The 18,936-nt window shown below is 37.1% G+C and overlaps 1 protein-coding gene across 3 annotated transcripts in view; it reads right to left on the reverse strand.

Annotated features, from left to right (window-relative positions):
• PRDM5 (PR/SET domain 5) overlaps positions 15,838–18,936 on the reverse strand; it is a 238,436-nt gene continuing 235,337 nt past the window's right edge. For all 3 annotated transcript variants that reach the window (XM_047449558.1, XM_047449557.1, XM_011531566.4), the window contains one exon: positions 15,838–16,572. In XM_047449558.1, the coding sequence (XP_047305514.1) occupies positions 16,564–16,572 (9 nt within the window). In that variant the 3' untranslated portion in view covers positions 15,838–16,563. The remainder of the gene's footprint in view (positions 16,573–18,936) is intronic.

The raw sequence follows: 18,936 nt of genomic DNA on the forward strand, positions 1-18,936 counted from the left end.
ACTTTGTTGGCATGTAGAGGTAAGCAGAGGACAAGCCCTAAAGAGTGTGATCTATTTTTGCAATAAAACGCCATCTCCAAATGGGAAGCAATTGAAACACCACATGCCATAGTTTTACTGCAACAGGCCAAAATCTCTAGGGCTGACAGACTATTTAGGATTTCTTGACTTCTCACAAGTGCAGAATATCCCCAAAACTTCTAATCATACTTGCAAATATCTTTTAGATTAGTCCACGTTGACTAAATGATTATTTAAAAGCAATAAAACTTATCAAATAAAATATCATAGAAGTTTGTAGTACGTGTATATTCAAGTTAATGGTTCAGTGGGACATCTTGAAAATGTATGTGCTGAAGACTGTCCTCTGAAAATGGGGTTACAAACAGCTATATTTGCTCAACTCACAGGCAAGATGAGTTCCAATAATGCGAATTGCTCTAGAATTCATTATATTATGCTTTCTTTGAAATCTCAGTGTTAGAAGCCAATGACTCCAAAAGCAGCCCTTTCTCTTTACTAACTAAATGTCAGATTACCAGAAATTTTGAGTTTAGTAATTTGAACTTTCTTAGTGAGAAACAGTTAAAGATTTCTCCTTTTAAACTGTGCATGGCAAATTCTCCTTACCCAAATTCTCAAAAGTTGTAAAATCTACTGTCATATGGCACATGGAAAGGACATTAAAAATAATTTGGGCCAACCTCTTCAGCCTGGATTTTGTGAGTTGTTTAAAAAGACACTTTTAAACTCTTGGTTCTGTGTTTAAAATACAGTGAGTGAAATTCATATTGAGACCACTATAAGTTTTCCAGGGATAAGAACCTAAGAAATGGTTAGAGTTACTTAAAACTCTCTTAGGACATTTCTGTATAAAGCCTGCATACATATACATGCTCACATGACCAACTAGATGACATACGGCCAGAAGGCACTCAAACTGCAGATTCACCTTTGTAAATCTTAAATAGGATAAATTCTTAAATTTGTATTCATCTAACAATAAGCATTTTGGAAAATGTATAAGATTTTTTCTTATTTTATATTAGTGTTTTTATCAACATTGTCAAGAGTATTATATTGGTTATCTATTGTTGTATAACACACTACCCAAAAACATAATGTTTGAAAATGTTATCATAATAAGGATTTATTATTTCTCATAATTTTGTGGTTACTGTGGAGTGGTTCTTTTGTAGAACTTGTGTGGACTCAACCATGTGACCACAATCAGCTGATGAGTTGGCTAGGGGTTGGACTCAGCTGGGAAAGCAGGGTCTCTCTCTGCATGTCGTCTTTAATCTTCAAGAAGGCTACCCTCCTTCATATGATGGAGGGAGTGTTCCAAGAAGGCAAGCCCTAATGCGCAAGTGGTTACCAAATGTCTGTTACTAATCCATGGGCCAAAGCAAGTCACATGGCCCATATCAAAGTCAATGTGGGTGTGACGGTTTTATGTGTCAACTTGGTGAGGCTATAGTTCTCAATTATTTAATTAAACACAAATCTAGGTGTTATGAAGGCATTTTGTAGATGCAGTTACCATCTACAATCAGTTGGCTTTAAGTAAAGGAGATTACTTTTGATAATGTGTATGTCCCTCATCCAATCAGCTGAAGATCTTAAGAGCAGAAACAGGTCTCACAGAGAAGAAATTCTGCCTCGAGACTGTAGTGTCAAATCCTGTCTGAGTTTCTAGCCTTGCCAGTCCCTACAATTGCATAAACCAATTCAATTCCTTAAAATAAATTGCTTTATATATGTCCTGTTACTGTGTTTCCCTCAAAAACCCTGATCAATGCAGAGGGGAACAACATAAGAGAGTGAATATTGAGAGGCACAATACATTGGGGCCATTAATGTGGCAATCTACCACAGTTTGTCCTTGGACTCTGTATTTTTTTTTTTGTCCTCCAATAAGGAGTTTCCAAGGTGGGATCAGATAGGCCATAGGTGTATTAGGGGAAATGCTGTGAAAAATGGAGGGGAGTGAACCAGAGAAGGCATGGAGAGCCTTCAGATGTGATCCAGCTCTGACACCTTGGAGGAAGTGGGAAGAAGGAGGAATCTCAGATTGCAGGGCAGTTCTAACAAAGGTTCATCCAGGCCAATGGGGGGCTTTGAGCCAAAGTTGCCCATCTTAGGCATCTCAAGACTCACTGGCATGGGACTCCATTAGTAATCCTGCAGCTGGAATAGGAAGCATGGACTCACATGAAAGCAGTAGTGGATCCAGACAGGCCAGTAGCTTCAGCTGTCACTCAACTGTGGTCTCCACAGCAGCTCTGAGTGGTACATTTTCATGGCTGCAACAGCCCTTAGTGATTCATGCTCCTTATATATTCAAAATACATTTATCTTTTATCAAGAGCTCCAAAGTCTCATCCAATAGTTGCATAAAGCTTAGAATCCATAATTTCATGATCTGCATCAGGTCCAGGTGCAATTGATGCTCCTCAGAGTGAAGCTCCTTTTTTTTTTTTTTTTTTTTTTTTTTTTTTGATGGAGTCTCACTCTGTCGCTAGGCTGGAGTGCAGTAGCACTATCTTGGCTCACTGCAATCTCTGTCTCCTGGGTTCAAGCAATTGTCCTGCCTCAGCCTCCTGAGTAGCTGGGACTACAGGTGTGCACCACCATGCCAGGCTAATTTTTGGGGTTTTAGTAGAGACGGGGTTTCACCATGTTGGCCAGGATGGTCTCAATCTCTTGACCTCGTGATCTGCCTGCCTCAGCCTCCCTAAGTGCTAGGATTGCAGGTGTAAGCCACCACGCCCAGCCTGAAGCTCCTCTTTATCCAGAGATATGAATAAGAAGGCAAGTTATCTGCCCCCATTAACCCAATAGAAAATGGCAAGACACAGAAACATAACCGCAATAGACATTACTCTTCAAGAAAAGGAAGAATGGGGTTCTGGTTCTGGGAAAGAATTGGGTGGAAGTGTCTCTCCCACTGAATATAGCTCTCAAATCTGGCAGAATGGAATGGCTATTCTAGGAATCTGAAAAGTAACTAATAGCAGATAGATTAGAAAAGGAGGTCAGAATTCAAGTTCAAACAAACCAGTGGTAAATATTATACTTTTTTCCCCCCTTCTGGTATCCCCCAGCAACCTAGAAGTGGGCACTAAAGGACAAATAAAGAGAAGCCCTCTAGTTTTCTGGTGCAAAAAGCAAGGAAAGGAATGTAATACATTCAGAGCAAGGAAATCCCCTTTTTTCCTTTCTTCTTTTATTCTCGAACACTCTAACCCCTAAGGAATCCCATGGTGATGCAAAAGCAAGAAATGGAGGCCTACAGGAGCCAAAATCCTGAGGGAGCTGAAATACCTCCCTGCTCAGTAGCGCTGCTTTAGCACTCGCTGCTTTTGTCTTCCATCCTACTCCTTGACTGTGGATTGAGATGAAGTTGTGCAAGTACACAACAGGGCAGGGTAACCAAAGCCCTGGATTTCTAGCTGGAGGTCCAAAATAAGGACTCCTAGGGAACAAGAAAGTACTAGAAAGATTGTTGAGAAAGAAGAACTGAGAAAAGCAGCCTTATAGAGTTACTAATGAATTCTTAAGTCTACCCCTATGCATCCTTAGATGTGATACACCACCACCCAGATCCAAGACGACTGGGCAGCACATATGTAGTGCAGACTCAAACAAACTGCAAAGGATTTGAAAACTGAATTGGCACTGAAACCACAGCCTACAGAAGGCAGATTGGAACTTGTGACCTGAATCCGGCAGATTCAACTGCCTGCTAAAACAAAAAATATCAACATTCCCCTCAGGACTTAAACAAAATTCAGAGAATCATAACATAATACTCCAAATTTCCAGGATATGATCCAAAATTACAAAGCAAAGAACCAGAAAAGTCTCAATTCACATAGGAAAAGAAAATGAACCATTGCCAATGCTAACATGACACAGATATTGGAATTATCTTACAGCAAGCAATCATGAACACTTGGAGCCAATGGAAAAACAAATTTTCTGCAAAAAAAAAATACATAAAGAAAATTCAAGGAAAATTTTAGAACTGAAAACACAATAACAGAAAAAAAAAAAAACGACTGAATGGTCTCAATAGCAGAATGGCAGAAAGATGATGAGGAAGAAAATCAGTGAGCTTGAAAATAGATCAATAAAAAGTACTCAATTTGAATATCAGAGAGAATAAAGATTTACAAAAATATTAATAGAGATACAGGAACGTATAGGAAAACAACAATAGGACTAACATTTGTGTCAGCGGAGTCAGTCAAGGAAAGAAGAAAGATAAAATGCTAATGGCTATAATTCCCCCAATTTGATGAAAGACATAAATCTACACATTAAAGAATAATGGCTTTTTTTTTTTCCAAGATGTCAGATAGGAGGCAGTGTTAGCATGTCTCTCCTACTTGGAAGGACAGAATTGTGGGTAGAGATTCACACTGTGAACTTTTTTCTCCCAAGAACCGCCACAGGAATTTACCAGGAAAACCAAAAGAATTCACAGATCCTTTGAAAGAAGCAGCAGGCTGCGGCCTATTGTGTGAGACAGGCAACAAATTGTAAGTTACCAGAGTGTGAGAGGGAGTGAGCTTGCCTCCAAACACACATCCGCACTAGGAAATCTGCAAATCTAGATCACTGGAGAAGACCTTAACTTTACCCAGAGTTGGAATGGATTTAGGGAGTGGTGTGAAATATAAAAGTAAAAGCAGCAGCAGGAAGTGTCTTTGTAGGCATTTCCAGTTTCCAGCCTGAGCTCAGGAAAACCAGCCTTGATTATCTCACAGGGGCCCTTGGGGAAGGCAGCCAACAAACTCAAGGAGTTGTGCAGGTTAAAAGAAATTCCTGACTGAATTCTGTGAGATAATTTTGAGTGGGGATGAACTCCCTTGAACAGAATCTGGGGGTGAGCAGGAAGTGTGCTACAGACTGGAGCTGGGTGCCTGGCCTGTGTAGCTCTGCTGGGTGCCTGGCCATACCAGCAGACAGGGAGGGACATGGCCAGAAAGCTGTGCTTGCTATCTCTGCAGGGAGGCTTATGGCCTGGGGTAGGTCTGAGTTCTGTGCACAGGCTGCCTGGATCTAAACCTGGTGTTGCTAGTGGGACACTGTGAGATCAAGACCAGCCTCACCAACTGCACAGGAGCTGGGTGAGGTCTGCTGCTGCTGGCTACTCCCCACTCCCCTTGTGAACTCTTCTGCACAGCAGAGACAGTTATACTCCCCTTTGATACATTACCTCAGCAGCCTGAGAACTACCTCCCATCCCCCACAGTGGCTGCAGCAGGCCCCACCCAAGAAGAGTCTGAGCCCAGACCCACCTAACACAAAGGATGTAAACTTTTGGGACCTTTATGGCTCCGCCCATTAATTGAGAAACCAGAATACTTCCTTTGGCCAATTTAAGGCAAGCTCAAATCCCACAGCTGACACCACAGCTGGTGCTCTCTTGCAAGTGCCACCTCCTGCCTGGAGGCCAACCAACACAGGCCATTACATCACCTTTTGGCTGAATAACACTGCACCCAGGAAGGGGAAAACGGCTTCCAACACCACTGCCTGCAACATCCTGGCTAACTAGACACCCTGAATCTGTCCGCATGACAAGTTTACTATTAGCATAACCAGCATTTGAGGAAGCCAGCACATTAAACCTAATTAAAACCAAGGAATTTCACAAAGTTACATTACTCCCCTGCCGTTTCCATCAGACCAGGTGCTGGTATCCACCGTTGGGAGACTTGAAGACAGGTCACATCACTGGATCCTTTGCAGACATTCCCCAGCACCTGCCCAGAGCCTGGTAGCCCCACTGAGTGACTAGACCCAGAAGGGCAATAACAATCACTGCAGTCCAGCTCTGCAGTCCTTCCCCATTCTTAGGGGAAGGGGGAGAGCACCACATCAAGGGATCACTCCATGGGACAAAGGAATCTAAACAGCAAGTCTTGAGTCCCAGATCTTTCTGCTGGTGGGAAGTTTCTTATAGAAGAGACATAATTGCAGTGCTGGGAGCAGTAGAGAAAGTCTACACCTCTACCCTAACAGGCAGGCAGCTTCTGTGATCATGAAGAGCCTTGGAGAAGCAGTCCTTATTCCCTCTGGCACACCACTGCAGACACAGTTGAGGCTTCTTCCATGGGAACACAGTGTGGAAGCAACCTACAGACAGCCTTCCTGGAACAATTCAGGGTGATTGCAGTCCACCATGAGGAGCACTCCTCAGATTTAGGCCTGCATGAGAGGCAGAGTCACAAGTCCTCCCTACTTGGAACATCAACATTCCTACAGATGAAAAGAGGTGCCTGTCTCATCTGAATAGCCAGAACACTGGGACAAGAGTGAGGGTGTGAGATGGATAGCTTTCCTGCTGGCCTGGAAGAGGAGCTGAAGTATATCCCACTCTTACCATCATAAAATTTCATCTAATTGAGAGCTCCCCCAGCCACTTTCATCAAGGCTGGGACCTCTGCCCACCATTGGGTGTTATATCTCCCCAGCTGCCCTAGCTACGACCAGTGCCTACCCAGGGATACCTTCCCTATTGGTCTGAGGCCTGAATCATCAACTCAGTAAATAAAATACTGGGGAAGAATTAAATAAATAAATAAGTGTACACTATGAGAGAATGAGACACTTCAAGGGATCCCTGCTATTCCAAACCCATAGGAGACAGTTAACTTACCCACAGACCACACACATAACTACTATAACCAGCATAAGGGAAAGCCCCATTGCACAAAGACTGTCTATAACTAAGGAACTCATACAGAGTCTTCACCCTAAAAGCACCAAGAATCAAGTTAGGCTAAAATAAACTATAAACATTAAAGTTCAATCTTTAAGATGGAAAAAAGAAATTTAAAAACAAAAACACAGCCCAACCAAAAATAAATCCAAGAACAATTTGAAGAAACAGTCAACCCAAATGAGAAGGAACCAGAAAAGTATGACAAAACAGGGTTCTATAACAGCCCCAAAAGATCACGCTAGCTCCCTAGCAATGGATCCAAAACAAGAAGAAATCTCTGAAATGTCAGATAAAGAATTCAGGAGGTTGATTATTAAGCTACTCAAGGAGATACCAGAGAAAGGTGAAAACCAAATTAAAGAAATTTAAAAAAAATCCAGGATATGAATGAAAATTTTTCCAGAGAAACAGATATCACAAAGAAAAAATAATCAGAACTTCTGGAAATGAAAGACACACTTGGGGAAATACAAAATGCAGTGGAAAGTTTCAGCAATAGACTAGAGCAAGTAAAAGAAGGAACTTCAGAGCTCAAAGACAAGGCTTTTGAATTAGCCCAAATCAGACAAAGAAAAAAGAATTTTAAAAAATGAACAAAGTCTCCAAGAAATATGGGATTATGTAAAATGGCCAAACCTAAGAATAATTGGTGTTCCTGAGGGAGAAGAGATGTCTAAAAGTTTGGAAAATTTATTTAAGGAAAAAAATAAGGAAAACTTCCCTGGCCTTGCTATATAGATCTAGACATCCAAATACAAGAAGCTCAAAGAACTTCTGGGAAATTCATCAAAAAAGATCATCACCAAGGCACGTAGTCATCAGGCTTTTTAAAGTCAAGATGAAGGAAAGAGTCTTAAGAGCTATGTTACAAAAGCATCAGGCAACCTATAAAGGAAATCCTATCAGATTAACAGCGGATTTCTCAGGAGAAACTGTATAAGCCAGAAGGGATTGGGGTCCTATGTTTAGCCTCTTTAAACAAAATAATTGTCAGCCCCAAATTTTGTATCCAGCAAAACTAAGCTTCATAAATTAATGAGAGATAGTCTTTTTCAAACAAATGCTGAGAGAATTCGCCACTACCAAGCCACAACTACAAGAACTGCTAAAAGGAGCTCTAAATCTTGAAACAAATCCTGTAAACACATCAAAACAGAACCTCTTTAAAGCATAAATCACAGGACCTATAAAATAAAAATACAAGTAAAAAAACACAAAAAACAAAAAACAAGGTACCCAGGCAACAAACAGCACAATGAATGCAACAGTACCTCACATCTCAATACTAACATTGAATATAAATGGCCTATATGCTCCACTTAAAATATACAGAACTGCAGAATGGATAAGAACTCATTAACCAACTATCTGCTGCCTTTAGGAGGCTCTCCTAACACATAAGGACTCACATACACTCAAAGTAAAGAGGTGGAAAAAGACATTTCATGCAAATGGACACCAAAAGCGAGCAGGAGTAGCTATTCTTTTATCAGACACAAAAAACTTTAAGACAACAGCAGTTAAAAGAGACAAAGAAGGAGATTACATAATGATAGACGGCCTTGTCCAACGGGAAAATATCACAATCCTAAACATATATGCACCTAACACTAGATCTCCTAAATTTATAAACCAATTACTAATAGACCTAAGGAAAGAGATAGACAGCAACATAATAATAGTGGGGGACTTCAACACTCCACTGACAGCACTAGACAGGTCATCAAGACAGAAAATCCACAAAGAAACAATTCAAACTATACCTTGGAACAAATGGACTTAACAGATATATACAGAACATTTCATTCAACAACCACAGAATACATGTTCTACACAACAGTGCTTGGAACTTTCTCCAAGACAGACCATATGATAGGCCATAAAATGAGCCTCAATAAATTTAAGAAAATTGAAATTATATCGAGCACTCTCTCAGTGGAATAAAACTGGTAATCAACTCAAAAAGAAACCTTCAAAACTATGCAAATACATGGAAATTAAATAACCTGCTCCTGAATGATCACTGGGTCAAAAACGAAATCAAGATGGAAATTTTAAAGTTCTTTGAACTGAATGACAATAATGACACAACCTATCAAAACCTCTGGGATACAGGAAAGGTGGTACTAAGAGGAAAGTTCATATCCCTAAATGCCTACATCAAAAAGACTGAAAGAGCACAAACCAACATCCTAAGGTCACATCTCAAGGAACTAGAGAAACAAGAACAAACCAAAACCAAATCCAGCAGAAGAAAGGAAATAACCAAGATCAGAGCAGAACTAAATGAAGTTGAAACAACAACAAACAACAAAAAAGATAAATGAAACAAAAGGCTGGTTCTTTGAAAAGATAAATAAAATTGATAAGCCATTAGCAAGATTAACCAAGAAAAGAAGAGAGAAAGTCCAAATAACCTTATTAAGAAACGAAACAGGAGATATTACAACTGACACCACTGAAATACAAAAGATCATTCAAGGCTGCTATGAATACCTTTACACACAAAAACTAGAAAACCTAGATGAGATGGATAAATTCCTGGAAAAATATAACCCTTCTAGCTTAAATCAGGAAGAATTAGATACCCTGAACAGACCAATAACAAGCAGCAAGATTGAAATGGTAAGTTAAAAATTACCAGCAAAAAAAAAAAAAAAAAGTCCAGGACCAGACGGATTTATAGCAGAATTCTACGAGATGTTCAAAGAAGAATTGGTACCATCCTTCTGACAGTATCTCACAAGATAGAGAAAGAAAGAACACTCCATAATTCATTCTATGAAGTCAGCATCACCCTAATACCAAAACCAGGAAGGGACATGACCAAAAAAGAAAACTATAGACCAATATTCTTGATGAGCATAGATGCTGAAATCATTAACAAAATACTAGCTAACTGAATCCAACACTAACTGAATCCAACAACATATCAAAAAGATAATCCACCATGATCAAGTGGGTTTCATACCAGGAAAGCAGGGATGGTTAAACATATGTGAGTCAATAAACAATTAAAAACAAAAATCACATTATCATCTCAATAGATGCAGAAAAAGCATTTAACAAAATCCAGCATCATTTTATGATTAAAACAAACTCTCAGCAAAATCAGCATACTAGGGACATACCTCAATGTAATAACACCTATCTATGACAAGCCCACAGCCAACATAATATTGAATGGGAAAAGTTGACAGCATTCCCTCTGAGAACTGGAACAAGACAAGGATGCCCACTCTCACAACTCCTCTTCAACATAGTACTGGAAGTCCTAGCCAGAACAATCAGAAGAGAGAAAGAAATAAAGGGCATTCAAATCGGTAAAGAGGAAGTCAAACTGTCACTGTTTGCTGATGATATGATGGTTTACCTTGAAACCCCTAAAGACTCCTCCAGAAAGCTACTAGAACTGATAAAAGAATTTAGCAAAGTTTCCAGATACAAGATGAATGTACAAAAGTCAGTAGCTCTTCTATACACCAACAGAGACCAAGCAGAGAATCAAATAAAAACTCAACCTCCTTTACAACAGCTCCAAAAAAAAAAAAAAAAAAGGAATATACCAAACCAAGGAGGAGAAAGACCTCTACAAGGAAAACTGCAAAACACTGCTGAAAAGAAATCATAGATGACACAAACAAATGGAATCACATCCCATGCTCATGGATGGGTAGAATCAATATTGTGAAAATGACCATACTGCTAAATGCAATCTACAAATTCAATGCAATCTCCATCAAAATGCCACCATCATTCTTCACAGAATTAGAAAAAGCAATTTTAAAATTCGTATGGAACCAAAAAAGAGCCCATGGATAGCCAAAACAAGACTAAGCACAAAGAACAAATCTGGAGGCATCATACAACCTGATTTCATACTGTACTATAAGGCACAGTCACCAAAACAGCATGGTACTGGTATAAAAACAGGCACATATACCATTGGAATAGAACAGAGAACCCAGAAATAAAGCCAAGTACTTACAGCCATCTGATCTTCAACAATTCAAACAAAAACATAAAGTGGGGAAAGGACACCCTTTTCAGCAAATGGTGCTGGGATAACTGGCTAGCCACATGTAGGAGAATGAAACTGGACCTTCATCTTTCACCTTATACAAAAATCAACTCAAGATGGATTAAGAACTTCAATCTAAGACCCCAAGTTATAAAAATTCTGGAAGATAACATTGGAAAAACCCTTCTAGACATTGGCATAGGCAAGGATTTCATGACAAAGAACCCAAAAGCAAATGCAATAAAAACAAAGATAAATAGTTGGGACTTAATTAAATTAAAGAGCTTTTGCATGGTGTAAAGAACAGTCAGCAGAGTAAACAGACAACCCACAAGGAGGGAAAATATCTTCACAATCTGTATATCTGACAAAGGACTAATATCTAGAATCCACAACGAACTCAAACAAATCAGTAAGAAAAAAAAACATTAAAAAGTGGGCTAAGGACATGAATAAAGAATTCTCAAAAGAAGGCATACAAATGGCCAAAAACATATGAAAAAAATGCTCAACATCACTAACGATCAGGGAAATGCAAATCAAAACCACAATGCAACACCACCTTAATCCTGCAAGAATGTCCATAATCGAAAAATCAAAAAACAGTAGATGTTGGTGTGGATGTGGCGATCAGAGAACACTTCTACACTGCTGGTGGGAATGTAAACTAGTACAGCCACTATGGAAAACAGTGTGGAGATTCCTTAAATAACTACAAGTAGAACTACCATTTGATCAAGCAGATACTGGATCCAGTAGATACTGGGTATCTACCCAGAGGAAAAGAAGTCTTTATATGAAAAATATACTTGCACATGCATGTTTATAGCAGCACAATTCACAATTGCAAAATCATGGAACCAACCCAAATGCCCATCAATCAAGGAGTTGATAAAGAAACTGTGGTATATGCATATGATGGAATACTACTCAGCCATAAAAAGAAAAGAATTAACTGCATTTGCAGAGACCTGGATGGACTGGAGACTATTATAGCAAGTGAAGTAACAGGAATGAGAAACCAAACATCATATGTTCTCACTGATATGTGGGAACTAAGCTATGAGGACGCAAAGACATAAGAATGATATGATGGACTTTAGGGACTTGGGGGGAGGGCGGGAGGGGAACGAGGGATAAAAGACTTCAAATGGGGTGCAGTGTATACTGCTTGGGTGATGGGTGCACCAAAATCTCACAAATGACTGTTGAAGAACTTACGTAACATAATACCACTTGTACCCCAATAACTTATGGGGTAAAAAAGGAAAAAGCACATGCACATGAATGTTTATAGCAGCACAATTCGCAGTTGTAAAAATATGGAACCAACCTAAGTGTTCATCAGCCAGTGAATGGATAAAGAAAACATGGCCTATATAACGTCATGGAATACTACTCAGCCATAAAAAGGAACAAAATAATGTCCTTTGCAGCAACTTGGATGGAGCTGGAGGACATTATTCTAAGTGAAATAACTCAAGAATATAAAACCAAATATAGCATATTCTTACTTACATGTGGGAGCTAAGCTATGAAGATGCAAAGGCATAAGAATGATACAATTGACTTTGGGGACACAGTGGGGAAGGCTGGAAGGAGGAGGGATTAAAGACTACATATTGGGTACAGTGTACACTGCTTGGGTGACAGGTGTACCAAAATCTCAGAAAATACCACTAAAGAACTTACTCATGTAACCAAAAACCACCGTACCCCCAAAAAAACTATTGAAACTTTTTTAAAAAGAGGATCATGGCAAACCTCAAACTTAAAAAAATCCACACCCAGGCACACAATAATCAAATTACTTATAACTAAAGACAAAGAAAAATCTAGAAATCAGTCAACAGGAAGTAACATTACCTCTAAGGGGAAAACGACACAAAAGAGTACATATTTCCCATCGGAAACCACAGAGACCTGAACCAGTATTTTAAAGTGATGAAAGAAAAGAACTGTCAACCTGGAATTCCATATCCATTAAAAATATCCTTCAGGAATGGTAAACACATTTGCAGATGAAGATAAACCGAGAAAACTTGTTACCAGCAGATCTGCTCTGAAACTTTTGCTAAAGAAAGTTATTCAGAGAAGGGAAGTGACATGAGAAGGAAACCTAGAACTTTAAGAATGAAGGAGGGAAACAGAGTGGCAAAAATCTAGGTAAACATAACACACTATTCTTCTCCACTTGAGTTATTTAACATATGTTTGACAGTTGAAAGCAAAAAATTAACACTGCCTGATGGAGTTTTCAATATAGGTAGATTTAATATGTCAAACAACTATAACATAAAGAGGGAAGAGTAAAGGAACCGATATGGGGTAAGATCTCTACATTCCTTTTGAAGTAGTAAAATACTGATTTTAAGTGGATTGTGAAAACGTAAGTAGGTTTATAGGAATTTCAGAGCAACCACTAAAAAATTACACAGAGAGACATATAAAAATACACAATAGACAAAATAAAATGGAATAATAAAAATATTCAAATAACCTGAAAGAAGGCAGGAAAGAGGAAAGAAAGGAATATAAAGCAGTGGTAACAAACATAAATGAAATGGTTAATTTAGTATTATATAAAGTAGATTTCAGAACAAAGGGAATTACCAGAGATAAAGAGGGATATTACATGACAATAAAAAGTGTCAATTCACATAACAACATTTCTAAATGAGTATGCACTCTGAAGCAGAACTTTGAAATACATAAAGCAAAAATTGCCAGAACGAAAAGAAGAAAGACATATTCACCATAATAATCAGAAATGTCAATACTCCTATTTCAGGAATAGATTAAACTAGGAGACAGGAAGATTGGCAAGGCTATGAAGAATTAAACAGCACCAACAATCAAAGGGTCTAGCTGATATTTATAGAATACTTCATCCATATTCTTCATCATATTATGATGAACACAAAACATTCTTCAAATCAGATCATATCCTGGGTCATAAAACACATACTATAAATTTTTAAACATTTAAGTAATACAAAGTATATTATCTGGCCATAATAGAATCAAACAAAAAATTAACAACAGAAAGATACTAAGAACATCATCAAGTACTTGGAAATCAAGCAATAAATTTCTACATATTTCATAGACCAAAGAGTAAGTCTAAAAGAAAAGCAAGAAATATTTTGAACTGAATAAAAATACAACATATCAAAATTTGTGGGATGGTATGACAGTAATTCAGAGTGAAACTGACAACGTTAAATGCTTATATAAGAAAAAAGTCTCAAATCAGCAATTTAAGCTCCTACCATAAGAAACTAGACAAAGAAGAGCAAAATTAGTTCTAAGTAAGTAGAAGAAAGAAAATAGTAAATATAAGAACAGAAATTAATAAAATAAAATTCAGAAAATCTATATAGAAAATCAATAAAATCAGAAGCTGTTTCTCTGAAAAATCAATAAAATTAATAACTCTCTAATAAGATTGACCACGAAAAAAAAGACACAGTAAACCAGTATCAGGAATGAAGGAGCTATCATTACCAACTAACAACTCTATACACTAACTTGACAGCTTAGATGAAATTGTTCAATTGACCAATGACTAGAAAACCACAAACTACTGAAACCCACCCAAGATAAAATAGATAACCTGAAGAGTCCTACAAGGAAATAAAACTTTTCCTATATGCAGATGACAAATAAAGGAGAAATGAGAGGCACATAATAGGCACATGGAAGTTTTGAAATCCAGCTGGACACGTTTAAAAACATGTTCCCATTCAAAGCCAAGGAATGAGGGCCCAGTCTCGTTCCACAGGAGTTGCTCCCTTCTTCATTGCTCTTCTTGGTTCCGTCCTTAGAGAGGGTCTTCTTTTTTCATAGGAAATGGTCTGTTTGAATAGCTTCAAATAGTGGGAGAGTTTTCCCAGTCTTCTTCCTGCTCACAGAATGTTGGGTGGGGTCCAGCTGCTTTTTCATTCTTTACTGACTCAGTCCCTTTTAATCTGATGCTCTTTGGGCACTTTTATGATTGAGGTTTATTCCACACCCCAAATACCATTTCTATAATTCTTTTACAACAGACCTCTCTAGTTAGCAGGAAATGTCGGGAACAACACTCTTAATATCCTTAGAAATCTTTTTGTCTATTTGAACTGGGGGTCTACTAGGCCATTGCCTTCAATCTTCCTGACATCTTTATAAAAGCTTTTATGAATAACATCCCTGATTTGATTTTGCCCTGAGGCTTTTCCTACTTTGAGAATCTGTTGGCTAAAGAGACTGGAAATGTAAAACCATTCTATTTTCCTCAACCCAGCATGACTTGGTTCATCTATATTTCTTCTAAATTCTGTTTGCAAATTGAACATTCCTTCCTTGGTTAATCTTTCTTTTCCTATACCTTATCATATACAGCTAAAAGAAGTCAATTGCAGTTTCTTCATTCTTTGTGGGAGGCTCTTTAGCTAGGTCTACATATTCATTAGGTACATATTTTCTAACTTTAATTTTACTACAGAGACAAACTGCTTCATAATGAAAAAACATGGGTCGCTATTTTTCAAACCTCCAATAGCAGCCTCAACACTTTTTCAGCATTCACTAAAATGTATTTGCCATTCCTCCAATCTCTATCAGAAGCTCACTTGCTATTTTTTTCCAGCTTATGCCCATTGCCTGGTCCCAAAGACAATGGCATATATTATAGGATTTTGTTAAAGTAGAAACGCTTTTCTATATACTAATTTCTGTATTTATCTATTACTTTGTAACAACCACCCCCACATAATTTGGGCGTTTAAAACAACAGTAATGAATTATTTTTCATGGTTCTGTAGGTTGAGTGAGAGGTTATTCTACTGCCTTGCTTCTGCTTACTCATGTGCCAGGAGCCATGATTTACTGGGAGTCATTAATGTAATAATTTACCACAGGATGTTCTGTGGAGAAAGATCAGTTAATGTCAGACATTTTGGTCGGGACAATTCCTTCTGAAAACACGTCACAACAACAATTATAAACAACAAAAGCTTGATATACAGTGAGCCTCAACATTTAACATTCATATCCAAGCATATCCCCTTATATCAGGGACTACAAAGCATCCAAATAAGATGAGAAATATTTTAATTGATGAAACACACCCCGTCAGATAAGCACTTCCTTGTCAGCAAGAAAGAAGGTCATATTTGGACCAGTTCCATGAACATACCTAATTTGATTAAGAAAACAAATCCACTTCTCCTGGAGTCTCTAACGATAGCAAGACTAAAGAGAATATGAAAATCAGGCTTTTTTTCAGAGATGTTAACATACCCTACTATTCAGATACCATGAAGGCCAAAAGACACTCAGATCTTCAAGATTTGTGTTCTTTATCATTTCTGGCTGCTCAGGCTCCCTTTATCAATCACATTGGGGCACTTCTAATTAATGCTCTCCTTTTGGGGCTTATCTAATTTGCAATAGTACTCATGTCTGACCAACATGATCCTGTATTATAAAATGCCTTTAATTTTATAATATTTCACTACTGTTCTTTTGCTCAGAGAACCAGTATTCAAAAATTATCTCAAAGAATAATTACATGAATAATTACATGAATAAAAATTACATAAATACATGAATTACATAAAAAAATTAATGTAATATTCTCAAAGAATATTACATTGAATATTACATTAATATTATTTTTCAAAGATGTAAACTTGTTTTTCATCTCATAGGATGTCATTTTACCTTTTTCTTCCCCCAAAATATCAGCTGAAGTTAGCCATAATGCATAAATGACAAATTTCGGTTTCTTAATCTTCTCAGAGTATTTCTTCCTTTTCTTTTAATGTGTCTAAAAAAGGAAAGATGTATTCAGATTCATATGTAAACACTTGAATTAATTTGTGGTTTTTGATGTAATTACATTATTTTAATAGCCAGTTTTTATTACTTATGGCAAATTTCATTTTGATATGAGCTATATCACTTAAAATGTGATTAATATAGTAAGGTTATTCCCTCTTTTGAATATTTGAATACTATTATTTAATTTTGTTAATAAGGAGGTAGGTAGCTGAAGGTTTATAAAATCAAAGTTATTGATTAGATTAAGTTTTAAGATAAGAGCTGGATATAGTTCAAACATAATAAAAAATACCTGATAGTCTAGGTACTGATAAAATATCTTCTTTTGATGTTTTAGTTAAAAGAATAGGTATCATTAATAAAGTATTATGTGTTAAATTGGTAAGTACAGTGCTTAAGGACTTTCAAAAATATTCCCAAATGAAATGCTTCTATCACTATAGTTATGTCATGATATACAAATTAAAATGTTATCAATTTGGCTCATGACTATTTTGCTTCAGGGTGTAAGCTGGAATGCTGCGGAGTGGTGGGAGGTTTCTAAGCAGCATATATAGGTGAAATATTTGGAGGAGCTAAGGCAATACCACTTCTTGAACTCGAACTGTGTCAGGCATCCATTGCAGATAGTGTTATGCTTTTTCTGATTTATTTCTCAAAACAAACTCAACAAGTAGATACTATTAAATCTGTTTTGTTTAAAAAAATTGACATCATTCAGTTAAGTAAATGATGTTACAGATTTATCATCTTTTCAAATTTATGGTCTTTCTTCCCTCCTTTTCTTTTTGTCCTTTATTCCTTTTCATATAGTTTGGATATGTATCCTCTCTAAATCTCATGTTGAATTGTAATCCCCTATGTTGGAGGTGGAGTCCTGTGGGAGTTGATTGCATCATGGGGTGGATTTCTCATGAATGGTTTGGCACCATCCCCTTAGTGTTCTCCTTGCAATAGTGAGTTCTTGTGAGATCTGGTTGTTTAGAAGTCTGTAGTATCTCCCCACCCACCCCACTTCTCTCTCTTGCTCCCGCTCTGGCCATGTGATATGCATTCTCCTGCTTTGCCTTTGCCTTGAGAAAAGGTCCCTGAGGCCTCCCCAGAAGCCTGACAGATGCTAATACCATGCTTCCTGTATATCCTGCATAACTGTGAGCCAATTAAACATTTGTTTCTTTATAGGTAATACCTGAGACCCAGGCTCAGGTATTTATGACAATGCAAGAACGGCCTAATACTCCTTTCATTCTTCTTTCCTTTCTCTCTCCTAGGAATAGAGAGAATTGTGGACTTATATAGCTTTGAGTATCAACTAAAATATATTTTGTAACTAAATTTTAAAATTGATGTGTTACATTGTACCTTTGTTAAAGTATTTCCTCAGTTAAAGCAAAACTGTTCAGGATATTTCGTGCTTCTAACTGATAATCTTATATCTGATTTATAACATGAAGTTTATATACTATTCATTTCAATTACATATGTGTATTTTTACTCCTCAGACATTTGTGCATTTGCAATAGACAATCCAGGAAACTAGCTAAAGGTGTAATTTTCAAAGAAGAAGGTAATATATAAGAAATGTGAAAATGTCATTAATTTGGTGTTTAAATAAGCTTTTAAAGATTTTATCTATTAAATATCTATATTAACACTCATCTCAAATTCAAAGTTGGTAATAATTGACCATTCCCTTCCCCTTCCCCAAAATATGTTTTACTTACTTTTCTGACTTAGCTAAACTTGGTCTAATTGAACATTAGTTTTAATTTAATCATCAGATACAAAAATTTATATTATATATAATCATATGTTTCTATACTTAAGTTACAAATCACTCCTTCAAAGGAGTACTGAAAGAAGGTCACATCTTTATCCATTTAGAGATAAAATTCAAACTCAGAATTGAAATTGTATATTTGTAATATGACCTCCAGTAAGAAGAGAGACAAAACTCAGGAGATGAAGGTTAAATCTCAACTCTACATATAACATATATGCCTTAGGAAGGATGTTTTAATTCTTAAATTGCAGTATTTTTATCTGAAATTTTAATTTAAACGTACTTATTTTTAGAAGAGTATTATTGTAACCCTATCTATAGGACATACATTTTCTTTTTTCATCTTAACAATTTTTAAGTGTATAGTATACAGCACGGTAGTGTTAACTATTGCATATTGCTGTGTAACAGACCTCTAGAACTTTTTCATCTCACAAAACTGAAACCCTATACCCATTTAACAACTCTTATTTTCCCTTCTTTGCCTTCCCTGGTTGTTACATTCTATTTTCTATTAGTTTGGCTACTTTAGATACCTCATTTAAGTGAAATGATGCAGTATTTGTC

The sequence above is a fragment of the Homo sapiens genome, chromosome 4 (assembly GCF_000001405.40).
Source record: "Homo sapiens chromosome 4, GRCh38.p14 Primary Assembly".
Classification (NCBI taxonomy): Eukaryota; Metazoa; Chordata; class Mammalia; order Primates; family Hominidae; genus Homo; species Homo sapiens.